Genomic DNA, 21,558 nt, shown 5'->3' on the forward strand with positions numbered 1-21,558 from the left:
TTAAGATTATAGTATTGGACCATTTGTTTAGTTTCTATAATACTAAGTGTTCAGGACTTTGATAGTCTCTAGAACTGTAAAGATAAGTAAAGAATAATTTATTTCCTCAAGAGATCAGTTCAGTGAGGAAGAGAGAGGTATAAAAATTATAATACAAAGTGACAGAGACTGTATAACTCTTTTGGGAGAGAGCAAATGGATTTTAAGTGGAAAGAAGAGCATGTGCAAAGATACTGAGGTAAGAAATCCCACGTGGTGTGTTCTGGGAATGACAAGGAGATTTTTGCTTTTTCTTACTTTTCCCTTCCTTCCATTCATAGTATAGGCCACCTGGGAAGGAAGCCTAATGGAGAATGAGACTAAGAGGAGGGTGGAAATAGGTTGGGAACAAAATTCTTGAAGAGCTCTGTGAACTTAATGCTTTAGTCAATGGAGAATCATTGATGAGATTTGAGAGGAAAAGGGCATGGCATATTTATGATGGGGGCAATTTGGATGGCAGATTGGAGAGAGGAGAGACTTAGACTGGGAAGTCCTTTAAAAGGTGCTTAGCAGTGGTGGAGGCAAGTTGAAAAGTTCAGAACTCAGCCAACATGAGAAAATGGGAAAATTTTGAAAGTCATTTCAGACTTAAGGGACTAGTTGCAAGTGGATAGGGAGGAAGAAATTGGAGATGAAGATGGGCCTGCAGGCTTTTGGTTGGAGTAATTTTGTAGATGATCTTGTTCTCTGATCTAAACTCTTCTTGCTTAGCTAAATGGTTCCTCGTTTTTTCTTTAAATCAAGAGATCCAGAGATATGAAATTACACTTCAGGTTTAAACCTTAAGGGGAAATATTCTTTGTCAAAGAATTAAAGATTAGATGCCATAAAATATACTTTCTGTACACTCATCAACCCAGGTCAGGAGAAACTAGGTTCTGGAGTCCTACGTGGTTAGTTCTAGGAGGTACCAACAGTCTCTCAACCAAAGGATGAGCAATGAGTCATCTTAGAAGGGATAAATAAGAACATCATATCCAGATAGGGAAACATGCTTCAGTTTCTGGGTGGATTTGAGAGAAGGAAGTATATACAAATATATGAAGAAAAAGGCAATGAACAAAGGAGAAATGGTGGTGCGGTGTCAATAGCACAAGCCTGTATGTGTTTTAGGACTTTGATCCATTTTGATTGCCTGTTTGTTGCCTAATTGTATTTAAAGAAACTAAGGTTGTTTCTAAAGTTCATCATAAGTAGGACTTAACATATATTCCCAAAGAATTTTAGAGTAGAGATGTAGCTTCACATTTTGAGAGGCTGAGGTGGAAGGATTGCTTGAGCTCAGGAGTTTGAGACCAGCCTGGGCAACATAGTGAGATGTTGTCTCCACTAAAAATAATGAAAAAAAAATTTACCAGCTCGGCGCCTGTAGTCCCAGCTACTCAGGAGGCTGAAGTGGGAGGACCACTATTAAATAAGTACTAACTTTGTGCCAGTTTGTTGGGCTATAACTGTGAGCAGTCCTTTATGAAGCTTAAATTCTAGTGCAAAGGCAGATAATAAATAAATAAAATAATTTCAAAGTAGGAGTAAGTTATTACAGAAAAATAAAACAATAGTGTGCTCAAGTGGCTACATGGGAGCAGCACTGTTTCAGATTAAGTGCTGGGGAAGAGGAAGCAATTGAGATGAGACCTGATTTCTTAATCTCTAAGACTATAAATTAGCTGTTTCGGTAATTACTTTTATCTTAAGAAATAAGCCATAAGGTTAAAACATCAATTTACTTCCTAACTTCTGTAAGTATATCGTATTTTGAGAACCTCTCTCTTGTCTATTTGGATGCATTTGTATCACATAAGGCAATGCTGTCCTCTGGTGGTAGTAACTTTAATAGCATGCCAGCTTTACTTTTGCAAATCTTTATAAGGACGTTCTTTATTTAGTGGGAATTATTTAAAATAGATGTCCTTTTTAGATTGTGTTTGAATTTAAGGGCCATTAGAATTTATTTGAAAATCTTATTTAGTCTCAAATAAATGCTTGGCGTAGTTCAGTAAAACACTGTTGAAGGAAAGATTACTTAAGTGTAAAGAACTCAACTCTCAGAACTCAACTCTCAGAACTCTCAGTACTGGAAATACAAACTAAGCAAAGTAAATTGCTGATACAAGTGTAGAAAATTTGGGACTTTGTCTTGTTCATCAAAATGTGTATTACATTAAATTGCCCATTTCAAAGGGCTAATACAACTTTAGAAAATTTTGAAAGAATCTACTTTGGAATTTGAAAGGATAGTGTTTAAGAATAGTGAACATTATTAAAGGAATTTTATATCAAACAATAAATTTCCATTGAAATATGGCCATATTCTTAAATTTAATATTCTAAGTATTTGGTCTGTCACTTCTAAATACCTATTTTTATGTCTTGCTTTCTGCTATTTGGATATTTTTCTGCTCTTTTCTAAGTCTTAAATTTAAAGGTTCATTTGGAGTAAAGGATTTTATCTTTTAGAAAGTAATTGAGATTTGAGAAATATTAGGTAGCTGACAGTTAAAAATAAATTTGACTTATTTTTTTAAATCCAGATCAAATCTCTTACATGTGTAGTCTTGTTGTACTGTGGCAGCTCTTCTCTAGGCTCTTGACTGGGTAATCCATTTCAGTTCTTTCTGCTAGTCACCTCCATGAGAGTAAAGTTGATAAACATTCATCATTACATATATTTCTAGTTGAATCTTTATCAGCTGGTCCACAATTTTAAATTATTTACATTCCACGGTCTAGTCGGTGTTTACTGTTTGGTTTACTTAAAAAAATGCAGTTGTGTAATTTGGTTTGCAGTACCCTCATAGTAGTTTCATAATTATGGCAGAAATCACAATAAATAATTTAAAATTATTTTTGACTAAAGATAATGTGGGTAGAGAGATTATGTAATTTAACTGGACAGTGTAGATTTCTGTTTACATTTATTTCACAGAAGTATATAAAACATACCTAGTAGTTATTTTATATTCTGTAATCTTTTGCCGGGTGGGACACTTGAAGCTATTTTTTTTTTTTTTTTGGAACAGAGTCTCACTCTGTCGCCCAGGCTGGAGTGCAATGGCGCGACCTTGGCTCACTGCAACCTCCGCCTCCTGGGTTCAAGTGATTCTCCTGCCTCAGCCTCCTGAGTAGCTGGGATTACAGGTGCCTGTCACCACGCCTGGCTAATTTTTGTATTTTTAGTAGAGACAGGGTTTTACCATGTTGGTCAGGCTGGTCTTGAACTCCTGACCTTGTGATCTGCCCACCTTGGCCTCCCAAAGTGCTGGGATTACACGCATGAGCCACCCCTCCTGGCCAAAACTATTCTTCTATGAATATAGATTAGTAAGAATTATAGAAACATCTTTATAAGGGCATATTATACACAGTCTGAATTGGCAGCTCTCGATGATGAAATCACCATGTATATAAATATACTTTGCTTTTATTACAAAATATGATTTATAAACATGCCCACATACCCACAGAGGACTTCAGTGGAAACCAGGGATACTCAACCATGCTTGCCTGCGCCAAAAGTAAATTCAACCTTAGGAAGGGGTTGACTGTTTAAAGGTTAAAAGAAAAGGTGCCTAACTATATGTAGTGTCTGTCATGTTGTATATTTTAATAGACTCTTTTATGTCTGGAAGGGGAAAATGCCATACCTTCATGCCTTTATTTGAAGGATTGTGAGGCATTTAAGATAGATGTGTATTTAATTTTTTTCTTTTTTTTTTTTGGTGGGAGCAGATCAGTGATTTTTTCAGTTCATACCAGACCACAGCATTTTCCCACAGCAGCCTTGATGTGTTCATCTCCTCTTTTAGAGACAGGGTCTTGCCCTGTCACACAGACTGGGGTTCAGTGGCACAATCATAGATCAAACATTCCTCCTGCCTCAGCCTCTCAAGGAGATGGGGTAACAGGCGGGTGCCACCATGTCCAGTGCATGTGTGTGTGTGTGTGTGTGTGCGTATGTATGTATAATATAATATATGTGTGTACATTTATATATGTATGTGTGTATATATATATTTAGAGATATTTGTGTATGTGTATATGTAGTTAGAGAGAGAGAGATATTTAGAGATGGGGTCTTGCTGTATTGTCCAGGCTGGTCTTGAATTCTTAAACTCCTGAGCTCAAGCAATCCTCCTGCCTCGGCCTCTCAAAGTGCTGGGATTACAGGCATGAGCCACTGTGCCCAGCCAAGATTTTTTTTCACCTAGAAATAAAAGTCAGTATTATATTTTTTTGCATATACAGTTTTGACTTGTAAAATGGAATCACCTCAATTGTGCTACTTTAAATATTAAGCATAGTTTTTACCTTAACTAAACTTTCAATAAGCTTGACCTTCTTTAACCCTTAAAGAATTCAAAATTGCCAGTCTTGGTATTCTATATAATGTATTTTCTGTCTTTCACTTTTTTAATATGATGGAAAATGTTGACTAGTGTATATTGGAGTGTCTTTTTATTTTTGGAGTCTAAACTGATTATTGGTGAGAATAAACTCCCCAATGTTAGGATCATTATTGCCTTCCTAATGGCTTCAACAGTCACATATAAATATCAGGGAGAAAGGGTGAGAATGCATAGAATGAAATTCTTAATTACTCTTAGTGAAAAACCTTTTGAATTTAATGGCTCCTTTTTATGTTGCATAGAATGTCTTGCTATTCTTAAAAGGCATGTGAATGAAACATAATAGTAATAGCTCTGCCATATTTTCACTAATACGTATGCTTCATTGGTGTAATCACTGTTTATCTTGCACTAGCCTGTTGCTTTTTATGATCATTTAAGTTAAAGTGATACAGTCAACTTTGTGATATTTTAGTGCTTTTAAAATAAAAAGAGTGTTTCCCTCATCTGCAGGTGCTGCTGTTTTTTCAAACGAAGGAAAAGGAAAACCATACAGCGCCACAAATGACTCTGGACACAGACAGATCCTGGGGAGTTACTTACATGTTCATCTGCTGTCTTGTGATTAAAATCATCTCTGTAGTGACCACGTATATTTTCAAGGACTCACTCTTAGAAACAAAAATGTCATACTTTCATACTTCATTTTGTGGTTGTCTTACATTCTTTTTCTTTTTTTTTTTTTCTCTAATTTAACCTTTATGGAAGCTTTAAAGTTTTGTCAAAACATGAGTGCTTTGCCCATCAGTGAATGGAATGGACCAATGAGGTGGTATCAATGAATATAGTTCCATAGAACATTTTCCAGAAGTTCTTCTGTTGTAGAAAGCAGTACAGTATCTTAAGTGTCAACCAGTTATATACCTAATCTGGTTTTTTATAACTTCTGTAAGAGCATAATCAAACAGGAATTTTCTTTTCTCAGTGGATAATACAACAGAGAAAACAGAGTTGCCCAAATATTTAAAAGAAGTTATTCCTTGAGAAGTTCATATTTTGTGACATCTGCATTGATTTCAGTATTACTGATGGTACTGTTATTCATAAGTCATATTAACATTCTCTCCGTGAAATCATGGTACAGTCACTGCCCAGAGGTACTGAGGAAAAAGCAATATGGGTTCGGCAGATGGTGGTGGTAAAATGAATCTTAAGGAGTGTGGTAAATATGTGCTCCGCTTTTGTTGCATCACTATGTGAAGTACTGTGTTGCAGAAGTGGCAAAAGCGCTTATTTTTAAAAATGCAAAATATTTGTACAATGTAACTTTATGCTTCCAAATAATAATGTATGTTAGACAGCAAGAAATGAATACTTTAAAAAGTGATGTATGTTGGAGTTATAAAGAAATACACTAAGGAGAGGTAGTAAATGTGAACCTTGTTGCAGTGTATAAGGTGGAAGCCTAAAGAAATCTCACCGAAACTTACTGCTGAATGATTACATTCTCCCTTAAGCAGAAAACTTTGGATGTGCCATGCAATGGTGTCTGTGTAATTATTTTGCTCTTTGATTAAAAAAAAGACCCCCAGCAATAAAAAGTGGGTCACTCTATGCCCTCTGTGCACATTAGTCTCTTGTATTCAACTTTGCTGATTCTCTGGAATTTTCCTACTCTTTAGCATAATTTTGATGATTGAAAAATATTTTGGAAAGGATGGGTCAGGTGCTTTGCCTCCATAGTCTTTTGAAGTGCCTGCATATGAACAACAACAACAACAACAAAAAATTCTGTAAAAAAGGAAGCCCATTCCACTTTTCAAGTATGCTTTGTTTTAAGCCATAAAGACACACATGTAGTTTTGTCACATTCTACTAGCCAAAATTTTCAAGAAGGGTTAAAACAAAGACTGGCTAGAAAGATAATTATTTTGAATAAATCTCATATTCATCTTTCATTTATATAATTGTTACTTATTCCTCCCATGCAGTCTCTTCGTTGTCTTTAAGTGTGTGCCTCCAGGCATGCTTATTTATTTTTATTGTCTCAAGGTAACATTTAAGATGTATATTAAAGTAAAGCTACATTTTTTTACTTCATTATTGCATTTACAGGGATTTAATTGTACTTTGTAATTTATTTTTCTTATTAGCCAAAAGTTTAATGCATTTTTTTTTGATGAATTAGGCACCCACATGAACACCACAAATCAGGACATTGTTTATCATTGTTGCTATGAATCCTATGAATGATCTTTTTTTTATTTTAAAGACCTACACTTAACCTACAAAACATTTGCTGTATAATTTGGTCAACAGTTTCTATCTATCTGTATACTGTCATGATGTCTTAAACTGCAGGAGTTACATACTGAGTTTATATTTTTATTTGCTTTGAGCAAGGTAGATAAACATTTTGGCCATTATAATGTGAAACCACTTCTTCTTTCTTTACAGTATTTGACCAAACTTGTGTGTCTATGATATTTGTAAATACATGCGAATATCTGTATTTCTTATCATAAGCCTATTTAGTTTTATTCTCAGTAGGGTTTTTTGGATTGTACAGTGTTTATATGATCTGAACTCCTTATACATAAGAAGGTGTGTATATTAATCCAATTATGGACTTAAAATATTTTAAAAGTATAAATACCCTTATTTGCTGCAAAGACCAGTGTGTAGGCATTTGCTTTTTAGCAATATTTTTAAGTGCTCCATTTTAATGCCGAGGAATAAGTCTTTTGGCAACACAAACTGGTCAATAATAGGTAATGCAGGTATGTTCAGGTTAAGCCAACAATGTTTTGCATTTTTATGCTTATTTTCTGTCAACACTAATGAAGTCAACATTGCCTGAATGTCTGAATAATGAAACACATCCCTGTTTAAAAGTATGTAACTGAAAAAGAAATAAAAAAAAATAAAAGTAGTTTTTTTAAACTTGCTCTTTCCCATTTCCTCTAAAGATGGGTAAAATAATGTCACTCCCTAATTTAAGATAGGAATTATAAAAATTTGGTTTATTTAGTCTGTTATATATGAGAAGCAGAGCTAAAGGAATATGCTTTTGTTATTTTATGTTTTGTTTTGCTTTCTTGAAATCCAGTGGTAAAAAGCACACACTAGGAAGGATCTAAGCTTTCTTTAATATAAAAAAAATTATACTTCTCTGAACTGTTTAATAGAGCAATAATTAAATACATCTTCTGATAAATTAAGGGAAATAGCATCATTTTTCCTTTTTGAGAATGGAATCATACTATTATGTTCACAGAAATTAAGCATTATTCCAGTTTTAAGTGAATGACTTTAAAATCATTGTAGATGGGGAGCCCATATTTCTAACAGTATCTCATAGTTCATCATTGTGCTAGGTGCTTTAAGGGATTTTACAAAATGGCATTAATGGTACGCTACTTACTGAGGGATGCTACAGGTAAGAAAAGGCAAAGCAGCCCTCTCTCACCCTGTGAATATTGTGTCCATTAAGCAGCAGAGACCTTCAGAAGCAGGAGAAAGATCTGGAGATGACACAAAACTGTTAAAGGCTCTATTTAGAAAAATTCGACTTTAAGATTGGGATTTCAGTCTGAATGAATGTATAGTTGCATTAGTCAGAACTCTTTGAATTGAAAGTGACAGAATTTAACCTGGCTTGAGCAATAAGAGTGTACATTATTTCATTTAACTGAAAAGTTCAGTGGTAGGACTGCCTTCAGACATGCTTAATCCTGGAGTTAAGACAGGAATCTTCTCCATATCTTTTGGTTTTGCTTTCCTACCCTGCTGTTTTCACTGTCAGGAAGACTTTCCATGTGTCATGGTAAAGTGGTCATCCAGCAGCTTGAGACTTCTACCCTACCATCTTAGTAGTCTCAGCAAAAACAAAGGGCCATTTTTCTCAATATTTCCAACAGAAGCTTAAGACTGACATTCCCTTATTGGTTGATGTGCCCACCCCTGAGCCAATTACTATGGACAAGGGAATATTGTTCTCCCAGTAGCTGAGCCTGAGTCATGGTTTGACCTTGAGGAGACACAATGGTGATGGAACTGGTTGAGAAGAGTTAAAAACTTTTTTTTCTACTAGAGTGCAAATAGAATTATAAAGATTTGCTGATATTCAGGATAACTAATTTCTTCTCTGCCCAATTCTAATACAGACCCACATAAATTATTTTCTTAGGACATTTACTTGTTCATAAGACTACATGGATCATAACCAAAGAAAGGACTATATATAGAAGAATGATCAGGTAATATTATTGGGATATAAAAATGGTTTTGTTAAACCAATTGTTTATTGGGATATTTATACTTTGATTTCACTTAAATGGTCAGACACTCTGGCACTTCTCCAGACTAGGGGTTGGAATCTTTTTTGGTAAAGTTTAGGCTTTGTGAGCCAAAAGGCAAAATTGAGGCTTTTATATATTTAATGAGAATGAAAAATTTTCACATATATTTTATTGATAAAATTCAAAATATATTAATACTTGAATTTTTTGTGTGATACAGGGCTACTAATGATAAGAATCGAGTGATTTTGAGGGGATATCTCACTAAATTGGGGTTCAAAATTAATTGCAAGCATTCATTTGTTAATGCTGGCCTGTAATGTGATTTTTTGTATTTCATCTTTGAAAACATCTTCTCACTCAAATAGATACATCCATGTACTGTTATCAGTTGTGATTGTGTAATTTTAATTGATCATATTCATCATTTGGAAGGTATTTATAGAATTCTATTAGATTCTGCTATTGCCATTTGCCTTTTAGCTGTCATTACATTGCATATTAATCACTTCCTGTTGAAGGTTAGGTGGATGCTCAATTGTATATTTAAGTGAATAATTAAATAGAAAAATTTCCTTTGCAGTTGCCTTAAGGTTCAGTAATGCAGCTTGAACTATAGTAGAACTTGGAAAATACGTTCACTGCAAGTTTGTGCGGGAATGGAGATCTTGTTTCTTATCTTGACAGCATGGGAAATATATAAAGCCAGCTTGATATTACTTGTGATTTAAACAACATTTGTTGCCATCAAAATGACCTTGTCACAGTATGTTTCACATGTAAGTGCTGTTTTGCCTCATAATTGTAGGTTGAATTTATTAGAAAGCATTATTAAGTTTGCAGCAAAAGCTAATTTCCAAAGCTATTCAGTGTTTGAAAATAGTTTGAGGGTGATTCTCCTCATCCATAACGAATTCAGTCTTGGTTCTGAGCTCAAAAAATTACAATAAAACTACCGTTCCAACCTGGGCAACATGGCAAAACCCCGTTTCTACAAAAAATTAGCGAGACATGGTGGCATGCATCCATAGTCCCAGCTACCCAGGAGGCTGAGGTGGGAGGATGTCCTGAGCCCAGGAGTCGAGGCTGCAGCAAGCCATGATTATGCTGCTGCACTCCAGCCTGGGCAACAGAGTGAGATCCTGTGTCTAACAAACAAAGCCAAAAACCTTTACTGCTGCCATCAAACCGCTATGTAATTGGGCAAGTCAGAATACTCAACTTCTATTTCTAACAAAACTAAATGGAACCAATGATGATTAAGATCACAAGTGAATAAAATTTACCATTGACTTTACTAGTTGGATGACAATTCAAATATTTCCCACAAATACCTGCTGATGAATAATGCACCATATAACCATTGAGCAATTTATTCAGCTATGCGGGTTTTTTTTCTTTTTTTTTTTTTTTTTTTTGGCCACTTCACACATTTTTACCACCATGAATTGCCACACATCTTAGCAGATTCTACTTCAGGTTGTACTAAATTGGTGTTTTCTCGACTTCTTTGAAATATTCTTTCCTGTAGTTATTGTATGCAGACTATTCATAAAGGCTAGTTCTTGAGTCACTTCAAACTCAGCATTGACTTCTCAAGTATACAACGGGGCAGTATTGGTAACATTTGTTGACTCACCAAAAGCCAAGCAAAGCTACTTGAAATCATTTGCCTTGTTTTTTAATTAACTGTTGGTGTTGCCACAGTGTCCTCATGTCTCCAAGCAAGTATTCTTGCTGAAAAGCTAGTAGTCATAAAGAAGTTTTTGTTTGGGCCCACTTTCTGGTTGCTACAATCAAACACAATTAAATTAACTCTAACTCACCATCAGTATATAGCTGTCTTTGCTTGGCTAACAAATGAGCCACTCAGAAAGTTACTTTGGTTACACCCTTATTCTAATTTTTTAAATTAGTAGATTATGCTGTGATAAGATACTACATTTTAAGTTTTCTAATTGTTCTGTTGATTTCCTGTGGGTTGGGAATATTGTGATGAGTGCTTAGTCTGGAAATATATTTTTGAGCACAGTGAAAGTGTCATTGCATAATAAACACAATGCTTTGCCATATAGTTCTACTACAATTCACACTCCACTGTGCCTTAAAAGTGCAACACTCAAAGTCCACTTTTTAAAACTTTTTTTGACATGATGTATATGCACTGGTAATAAAAAATAATAAAATGTCCGTATGACAATATGTATGACACTTGAAATGCTGTTGAGTTTTATAGCCATCACTGAGATTTGTAGCATGTTGAATAGCAGTGCAAAACAATGAAAGCACCACATATGGTTACTGTCACAATTATTCACCTCTGCCTTTGTAGCATGAAAGCAGCCATAGTCAATGTGTAAATGAATGAACATGGCTGTGTTCCAATAAAATTTTATTTATGGACACTAAAATTTGAATTTCATATAATTTTTATGTGTCATAAAATTCCCTCTTAATTTTTTTCAACCATTTAGAAATGTTAAGTGTCATTCTTAGTTTGTGAGCTGAGCAAAAATAGGAGGTGGGCTGAACTTGGCCTGCAGACCATAGTTTGCCAACATTTGTTCTGTGCCACACTGGAAAGATTTGAATGTTTGAATTAAATTAGTTTTTACCTAATTGCATGAAACTGCTTACCAAAAGATGACCTTTCCTCCTTTTATGAAAGAAAATTTCATTTTGAAGTAGCACCAAGAATTAAAATATTATGGAAAATGCAACCACAGTACATATGGGAGTTAGAAATCAAATGAGGTCTAAGTCTGGCTCACGTATGAACTTAGATATTGAAGCAGTGTGCAGCTTTAGAAAGAGCATGAATGTCAGAATTAGACAAATTTAATTTCAGTCTAAACTTCTTGTGAGAACTGTGGCAAGTTAACTCACTTACCCTGTTTCTTCACCTTAAACTGGAGATAATGCCTACTTTGAAGTGTGATTCTGAGGATTAGTGGATGATCTTTATAATAGCTCTCAATGCATTTACCATTACTTTCATTAAAAGTACAATTTTTAAACTGAGCAACACCTTGATTTCTCATACAGTGTGTACACTTCTCTTTAAGACGAGAATAAGGTCTGGTGTTTATTAGACTTTGTCTTCCTAGATTGACACCATTATTTCTATGTGTTTAAAAATATTGGGCCCTAATTCTATCACATTGTACAGTTACCATTCTGCCTCACTTAGTGACATCAACAAATTCGAAATCTTTAATTTATTGATAAAAATGACAACAGGAGAGGACCAGGCAAAATCCTGTCTGAAGCAGCTGCAGTCCATGTTAAGGTCAATATCAGTCCTGTCTGAAGCAGCTGTAGTCCATGTTAAGGTCAGTATTCATTGAACCAATAACATGTCTAAATGTTCTCTGTAATGTATGAGTCCTTCAACACCACTTAATTACTATTAGCTATTTATCAGAAGCTTTGCTGAAATCCAGGTAAACCATTTGGTCTGTTTCCATGCCCACTCATTCTCATTATGCCATCAAAAAAGGAATTGGATTGAGTTTGACATGAGTTTTGGATTTTATTTCCTTCTTGCCTTTTTCCCCACTTAACTTTTCAGGCTAAAGATTATTCTTGATTTTAAAAAGCTGAGCCTTACATTCTCTTCCTCATCCCTCAGCCTTTCCTTTACATATGGCTCCACATACAGATTATAGAGCTCTTTTTTTGTTGGCTTTAGCATTAAAAAGAATCTCGAGCTAATATGAAACCTTAAAGATGTTACCTTTTTTTTTTACGTTTATTTCCTATACCCTTTTAAAAGCTGAGCTTGTTAGGAGACTCTTTTCTCAAACGTTTTTGCTTTTTAGGATCACTTTTCATTGCAGAAATGAAATCAGAGTCTTGAGTTCTTTTCACAAGGTATCATAGACCTTAAGATGAGATGCTCACATTCTCTCAAGGTGCCTGACCCTTCTGCTTTATCAACAAATTCCTCTTGCTGGTCATTTTTGTGGTACAGAATAGTAGCTTCAATTTTTGCTTTCTCTATTTCCTGGAAGATTAGATTTTAGGCATATAAAGAATTTACAGAATTTCTGGGTTTAAAGTTTTTTTGTTTTTGTTTTTAGTTATTACAAGTACATGATAGGTATCTATATGGGGCACATGTGATGTTTTGATACAGGCATACAATGTGTAATAATGACATCAGGGTAATTAAGTTATCCAGCACTTCAAGCATTTGTCATTTGTGTCAGGAACATTCCAATTTCATTCTTAGTTGTTTTAAAATATGTAATAAATTATTGTTGACTATAGCCACATTGTGCTACCAAATACTAGATCTTATTCATTAGATCTAACTGTATATATGTGTGTGTGTATATATATGTGTATACATACACATATGTGTATATACGTGTATACATACACATATGTGTATATACACGTGTATATATGTGTATATATACACGTGTATATACGTGTATATATACACGTGTATATATGTGTATGTGTGTATATATACACGTGTGTATATGTATATATACACATGTGTGTATATGTGTATATATACACGTGTGTGTATATGTGTGTATATATACACGTGTGTATGTGTGTATATATACACGTGTGTGTATATGTGTGTATATATACACGTGTGTATGTGTGTATATATACACGTGTGTATATGTGTGTATATATACACGTGTGTGTATATGTGTGTATATATACACATACATTAATTTGAGACAGAGTCTAGCTCTGTCTCCCAGGCTGGAGTGCAGTGGCACGATCTCAGCTAACCTCTGGTTTAACTGAGTAGCTGAGACTACAGGTGTGCACCACCATACCTGGCTAATTTTTGTATTTTTCGTAGAGATGGGGTTTCACCATATTGGCCAGGCTGGTCTCGAACTCCTGATCTTAAGTGATCCGCCTGCCTTAGCCTCCCAAAGTGCTGAGATTACAGGTGTGAGCCGCCATACCCAGCTCTATCTAACTATATTTTGTGCCCATAATACCATCCCCAGTTTATCCCACACCACCCCCCTCCCCGCTACCCTTCAAAGCCTCATAACCATCCTTCAACTCTTTATCTCCATGAGATACATTGTATTGATTTTTAGCTCCCACAAAAGAGAACATCAGAAACCCTAGCTGAAGTAAAATAAGAATTAGAAATTTCCAGACAATTGGGGGCCTCTATCACTACTCAATTTTATGTTTAGTATTTTATGCTCCTCTTGAACACCTTGTGTCAGGCAGTGACTTGTGTGCTTAAATACTGATTTTCTTTAACTGGCCTGGCCTTTTGTAATGTACTTTCATAATGGTATCTTAATTTCCCCTCTCTTTGCTCAAATATTTTCCACAGTGCATTTACCTTGGGTGTACTAAATTTCATTGCAAGTATACATCCTCTCAGTATACTCCTCTGCCCCTTCCTTCTCATAAGTGTGTATTCCAGTCAGAAACCTCATCATACCATGTCAACGATTTCTATGTCTTACTTACACTACCCTGATTTGTTTGTAAGTCTTCTTGATCATAGTCTTGTATGTGCATTAGTGTGAAGACTTCTTGGTATTGTTTTCAAACTTCCTGCTCAGTTTTCTGGAGTGAATCATTTGGTCATCTCTAACCAGATGGTAGATGGTATATATAACAATCCCTTTCATGATTTTTATCTTCTATTTTCACCTTCATCCTCATTGCAAAAAAATCATTTAAACATGTCAATTATTCTTATACCATTACATTCTAGCCATCTTAAATTAAGTCTTGGAAATGAAAATCTCATTTTAAATGTCATATAGGTAGAAAATCAATCATGTCTTCCTTGTACAGTATTTTGTCCTGAATCCTTTATTGACTTTGTCAGGTGCCCTAAATGTCCTGTATTTATTAGGCTTTTTTTTTTTGATAAATTGCAAGAATATTGGCAATTAGAGCTATTTTTACTCCACAGTAATGTGGAATGCTTAAATTACTTATGTGGTAACAGCAGCTGAAAATTATTCCTCCACAAATAAACATCTGAACAATCCCTTATCTCTCCTACAGGTTTCAATGAATACCAAAAGTGGGGAGTAAGACTTGAAAGTACTTACATTTCATATTCAAGAAAGAAAAAGGCTATTTGAATTTTAGCCAAAGCCTGAAGTTGTGAACAAGTAACCACTGTTAATTTAAGATAACTTTAATAAATATACAAAAAAAATCAATCAATGACATCATCCATTGGCCATGCTTCTGAAAATAAGCTAGTCAACAACAGCTTCATTCTAGTCTTCTGAAAGTAAGCAAGTTAATGACAGCCCCATGCTTCTAGACAACAGCTGATCAGCAAGTGCCTTGCTCCAATAACCAGGCTTTAGAAAGTCTGTTGGTCAACAGCAGCTTTTTCCAGTGAAATACCACACCCAGGAATATAATCAGCCTTTTTGACTTCTTTTAACCCTGCTGCACCTTTCTAAATAGTCAATTTATTACACTTTTTTCTGCTACGTTATTACTGTTACCCTCTCTTTCCTTCTGTTACACTAAGATTCCAGGAAAAATGTTTCAAAAATGGGTTCTTCTTTTTAAAAATGCTTGAAAAGCATTGCCCTAAATAATGTGAAATATTAAACTTAGTATGGAGTGCTTAGGAAATCAGAAAACTATACACTCTGTATTCTGTATACTATGTCCTAAAGATATAGAGAGATCTCCATCCAAATGTATTAAACAAGCTCTGGTACCTGGACTGGTAAGCTTTAATGCTCAAGACTATCCTTCTGCTGAGTCTTTATTCTGCAAGAGGACCAGTTTGGCAGAGTAGATTATGTCTCTTTTATTCACGTTAAAAATAAAAATGGAGAAGAATGGAAAAAGGCAAAGCAAGATGGCAGAAGAGGACTTTTTAGTGATCTTTCCCCTTGCAGAAACATCAATTTGAACAACTATCCATGCACAAAAATACCTTCACAGGAGCTAAGTGAGTCAGGTGAACCATCTTGGTACTTGGTAATAGCACAATTTTTTCTTTTCTTTTGAGATGGAGTTTTGCTCTGTCGCCCAGGCTGGAGTGCAGTGGGGCAATCTTGGCTCACTGCAACCTCTGTCTCCTGGATTCAAGCAATTCTCCTGCCTCAGGCTCCCAAGTAGCTGGGATTACAGGCACACACTGCCACGCCTGGCTAATTTTTTGTATTTTTTAGTAGAGACAGGGTTTCACCATGTTGCCCGGGCTGGTCTTGAACTCCTGAGCTCAGGCCATCCGCTTGCCTCAGCCTCCCAAAGTGCTAGGATTACAGGTGTGAGCCACCATGCTGGGCCAGTGATAGCACAATTATTAAAAATATGCATTGAAGGGAGTAGAAAGGACAGTTTCACATTACCCATGTCACTCCTTTCCCAATCCCAGGCAGCAAAGTGAAAAGATAGCATGAAATTGCAGGAAAGAGAAGTGAGCCTAGGACTTTGTCTTCAAACCTAAAATTAGGTAGCACCAGGCAGACCTCCCACAACCCCTGACTTTAGGGGAGTACCTGCAGACCGAACCTCCAGACGTGCCCTGGCATCAGCAGGAACGCATAGCTTCTATTAGGTGAGATCAGTCTGCTGTATGCATCACTGACAGCTTACTACAGTGGCCTTGGGCTCTGGACAACCCCCATTGGAAGGCAGACTTCAGCAGCTGTGAGTTTCAGGCACATCCCAGCTCCATGATATCCTCAGCAGACATGAGATTCCAGCCTGGCATCATATGGCTGCAGTGATCCCAGGATTAGGGCATCCCTCAGTGTCTCAATGGTACTTCAGTGGTACCAGGTTTAGAGAGCATGCCAGATGATATACCTAGAATCTCTGCTCAGACACCAATGAACAACAAAGATCAAGAATAATCAGGGAAACATGATATTACCAATGGACAAAATAAAGTGCCAGTGACCAACCCTAAGGAAATGGAGATGAATGAATGTGCTTCCTGACAAAGAATTGAAAGTAACCATTTTCAGCGAACTTCAAGAAAATACAGAGAAACAATTCAATAAAAAGAAGACCATAAGTGATCAGAACAAGAAATTTAACAGAGAGAATGAAATGATAATAAAAATCAAATAGAAATCCTGGAACTGAAAAATATAATGAACAAAATGAAAAATGTCACAGAGAATATAAACAGCAGAATTGATCAAGCAAAGAAATAATCTGTGAACTCAAAGGCAGGTTATTTGAAAATAAACAGAAGGAAAAAAGGAAAAAGAATGAAAAGAAATGAGGAAAACTTACGGAATTTGTGAGAAAGTATCAAAGGATAAAATATTTGAGTCCATAGGAGTTAGAGAAGCAGAAGAGAAAAATAAAGGGACAAAAAGTGTATTTAAAGAAATGATAGCCAAAAAACTTTCCAAACCTGGAGAAAGGTATAAATATCTAATTACAGGAAGGTTAAAGGTCTTCAATCAGATTCAGTCCAAATAGGACTACTTCAAGACATATTATTATCAAAATGTCAAACATCAAAGATAGAGAGGATCCTGAAAGCAGCAAGAGAAAAGAAGCAAATAACATATAAAGGAATTCCAATACACATAGCAGCAGACTTCTCACTAGAATCTTATAGGCCAGGAGACTGGGATGATATACTCAAAGTGGTGAAGGGGAAAACAACAACAACAACAACAACAACAACAACCAATTAGAGTATGGTACCCAGATAATCTGTTCTTTATAAATGAAGGGTCAGGCATGGCAGCTCATGCCTATAATCCCAGCACTTTGGGAGGACAAGGTGGATGGATCACTTGAGGCCAGAAGTTTGAGACCAGACTGGCCAACATGGCAAAACCCCATCTCTACTAAAAACACAAAAAATTAGCCGGGTGTGGTGGCATACACTTGTAATCCCAGCTACTCGGGTGGCTGAGGCAGGAGAATCGCTTGAACCTGGGAGGCGGAGACTGCAGTGAGCCATTATCATGCCACTGCACTCCAGCCTCGGTGACAGCATGAGACCCTGTCTCAAAAAAAAAAAAAAAAAAAAAAAAAGAAAGAAATGAAAGAGAAAAAGAGAAACACTTTCCCACACACAAAAAAGCTGAAGTTTATCATCACCAGACCTGTCTTACAAGAAATGCTAAAGACAGTTCTTCAAGCTGAAAGAAAAGGATGCTAATGAGTAACATGAAAACATCTGAGAGTATAAAACTCACTAGTAAAAGCAGGGACACAATCATATTTGGAATATTATTATACTGTAATCATGGTAAAAAAAGATCACTTGTACCTTTAGTGTGAAGATTAAAAGACAAACTATTAAAAATAAATATGATAATTTGTTAAGGGATGTTGAACACAAGAAAGATGTAAATTATGATAAAACTCAGAGTCAGGGGTAGTGGAGTAAAAGTAAAGTTTTTTTTTAATTGAAGTTAATTTGTTATCACCTTAAAATATCTTGTTTTGATTATAAGATTTTTTTTGGTAAGCCTCATTGTGACCACAAAGTGAAAACCTATAGTAGATGTGCGCAAAAAACAAGGAATGAAAACATACTACTAGAGAAAAACACTTAATCATAAAGGAAGACAGTAAAAGAGAATGAAAGGAACAAAGAATCTACAGAACAACTAGAAAACAATAAGTGAAAGGGCAGTGGTTAAGTCCTCATCTATCAATAATTACCTTGAATGTAAATATGTTAAATTATCCAATCAGAAGACACAGAATGGCTAAATGGATTTTTAAAAAGAAGAGACCTAAGTATATGCTGCCAATGAGAGACTCACCTCAGCTGTAAGGACACACATAGACTGAAAGAAGGGATGAAAAAAGATATTACATGCACATGGAAATCAAAAGTATTAGATGTGTATTACATGAGTATTAGACAAAATAGGCTTTAAGTAAAAAACTGTAAAATAAGATGAAAAAGGCCATTATATAATGATAAAGGGCTTAATGCTGCAGGAGGATATGATATGACAATTATAAATATATATGCACCCAACATTAGAGCACCTAAATATACAACACATGTATTAACAGATTTAAAGGGAGAAATAGACAATAATAGTATGTACAGTAGCAGTATAGGACATTAACACCCCACTTTCAGCAATGGAAAAATCATCCAGACAGAAAATTAGCATTGAGACATTGGACTCAAACTCTGCTTTAGACCAAATAGACCTAACAGATGTATACAGAGCATTTCATTCAAGAGTTGCAGAATTTACATTCTTCTAAAGTGCACATGGAACATTATCTAGGCTAGATCATGCGTTAGGTCACAAAACAAGTCTTAACAAATTTAAGAAGATTGAAATCATATCAAGTATCTTTTCTGACCACAGTGATACAAAACTAAAAATAACAGGAAGAACTCTGAAAAATTCACAAACACATGAAAATTGAACATCTTGAACAACCAATGGGTCAACGAAGAAATTACAAGTAAAATTAAAAAATGTATTCAGGCGAATGAAAATGGAAACACAGCATACTAAAACTTCTGGGATGCAGCAAAAGCACTTCTAAGATGGAAGTTTATAGCAATAAACACCTACATCAAAAAAGAAGATCTCAAGTAAACAACCTAATATTTTACTTCGAGGTCTTGAAAAAAGAATAAACTAAGCCCAAAATTAGTAGACGGAAGGAAATAATAAACATCAGAGCAGAAATAAATAAAATAGAGACTAGAAAAACAATAGAAAGGATGAAAAAACAAAGTGTTGGTTTTTTTTTTTGAAAAAAGATGAAATTAATAAACCTGCCAGTTGGACTAAGAAAAAAAGAAGACTCAAATCAGAGAGGAAAAAGGAGACATTAAAACTGATAACACAGAAATATAAAGGATTATAAGGCTATTATGGACAATTATACCCCCAACAAACTGGATAATCAAGAAGAAATGCTAGCATGAGTACATTCCATCCCCCGGCTCCCGGCCACCCCAGCCCCGCCAAGTCTCCATTGCAGTTAAAGCCTTGGCAGGCACAGAGCCTGCCAGCCGCACCCCCGCCCCCACCAGCACCCCACCCCTGTGACAACACTGCCATGGGAGTGAAACTAGGCACAGAGAAGAGTGGGCCTTTCCCCACCCTGAGCAGCCATCTCCACCTGGGTGAATGCTCATGGAGGGTGCGCCCAGTCCTATGCCCACCAGCACCCTGCCCCCTGTGCTAACCACACCACCAGCACCACTGTGCACATAGTTGCCAGAGGTACCCTCAGCCATGCTGCCTCCATTGCTACTGTGAATGCCTTCTCAGAGGCCAGCACCCAGCACCCGCCAGTACCCTGCCACAGCGGAGAAGAAGTCCACCCTGCTCTGCTGCTGCTGCTGCCACTGCTGCTGGCACATGCAAATGAGAACAGATCCTGCTGCTGCCACCATACAAAAAGCTTTGAGTGGCACCATCCATCAGAGTGCTGTGACACAGTGGTCCCGGAGCACTGCGGCACTGCCAGTGCAGTGATTTCCTAATCCCAAGAAGCCAGAGAACAAATTCTCGGGACTGATAACAGTTCCCCAGAGTTAGAGCATGCAGTCCAGGAGTTGTGAGCTGAGCCATGGCTCCTTTAAATCTTCCATAAATGAAACCAGCTGACTGAAACCATCTTACACCACAATCAAATTCTCTAGTTCATCAAATAGGATAAAAGGACAGCGACTTTAAAGACTGAAGGAGCATCAGCCCAGGAAGATGAGAAAGAACCAGCTCAAGCATTCTGACAACTTAAAAAACCAGAGTGCTATCTTTCCTCCTAACAACCACACTAGGTCTCCAGCAAAGATTCAGAACTGAACTGAGATGGCTGAAATGACAGAAATAGAATTCAAAATAAGGATACAAATAAAGATCACTGAGATGCAGCAGCATGTTGAAACCCAATCCAAGGAAGCTAAGAATCACAATAAAATGATACAGGAGCTGATAGACAAAATAGCCAGTATAGAAAAGAATGTAATTGACTTGTTAGAGCTGAAAAACACACTACAAGAATTTTATAATGCAATTACAAGTATTAGTGGCAGAATAGACTAAAATAAAGAAAGAATATCAGAGCTTGAAGATTGGCTCTCTGAAATAAGACAGACAATAACAGAGAAAAAGAATTAAAAGAAATGAACATTACCTTCAAGAAATATGGGATTATGTAAAGAGATCAAATCTATAACTCACTGGTGTGCCTGAAAGAAATGGGGAGAATGGAAGCAACTTGAAAAATGTATTTCAGGAAATCAGCCATGAGGACTTCCCCAAACTAGCTAGAGAGGCCAAACTTCAAATTCAGGAAATGCAGAGAAGCCTAGTAAGATAAGTCACAAGAAGATCATACTCAAGACATGTAATCATCAAATTCTCCAATGTCAGAATGAAAGAAAAAATGTTACAGGCAGCTAGAGAGAAAGGTCAGGTCACCTAGAAAAGGAAGCCCATCAGACTAACAGCAGACCTCTCAGCAGCAACCCTACAACCCAAAAGAGATTGGGGGCCAATATTCAACATTGTTAAAGAAAAGAAATTCCAGCCAAGAATTTTATATCGGCCAAACTAAACTTTGTAAGCAAAGGAGAAATAAGATTCTTTTCAGACAAGCAAATGCTGAGGGAATTTATTACCACCAGACCTGCCTTACAAGAGCTCCTAAAGGAAGCAATAAATATGGAAAGGAAAAACTGTTATCAACCAGTACAAAAACACACTTAAGTACACAGACCAGTGACACAATAAAGCAATCACAAACAAACCAGCATAATAACCAGCTAACAATACATGACAGGGTCAAAGCTACACATATCAATACTAACCTTGAATGTAAATGGGCTAAATGCCCCAATTAAAAGACACAGAGAGGCAAGCTGGATAAAAAAAGCAATACCCAATGATATGCTGTCTTCAACAGACCCATCTCAC

General features: G+C 36.1%; 1 protein-coding gene across 59 annotated transcripts in view, besides 1 other annotated feature; it reads left to right on the plus strand.

Annotated features, from left to right (window-relative positions):
- The window catches only part of CSNK1G3 (casein kinase 1 gamma 3), a 104,873-nt gene extending 97,264 nt beyond the window's left edge, over positions 1-7,609 (plus strand). For 58 of the 59 annotated variants that reach the window (XM_017009060.2, XM_047416765.1, XM_047416768.1 and 55 more), the window contains one exon: positions 4,902-7,609. In XM_017009060.2, coding sequence (XP_016864549.1) covers positions 4,902-4,956 — 55 coding nt within the window. In that variant the 3' untranslated portion in view covers positions 4,957-7,609. The remainder of the gene's footprint in view (positions 1-4,901) is intronic. The other variant, NM_004384.5, reaches the window with a different exon arrangement.
- Positions 19,415-19,916: an enhancer, noted in NCBI's record as "H3K4me1 hESC enhancer chr5:122964549-122965050 (GRCh37/hg19 assembly coordinates)". NCBI's record gives its function as "activates a minimal SCP1, AML or CMV promoter by ChIP-STARR-seq in naive H9 embryonic stem cells {active_cell/tissue: H9 hESC(naive)}" and the evidence as "EXISTENCE:reporter gene assay evidence [ECO:0000049][PMID:30033119]".

This window comes from Homo sapiens, chromosome 5, assembly GCF_000001405.40.
Source record: "Homo sapiens chromosome 5, GRCh38.p14 Primary Assembly".
In the NCBI taxonomy this organism is placed as follows: Eukaryota; Metazoa; Chordata; class Mammalia; order Primates; family Hominidae; genus Homo; species Homo sapiens.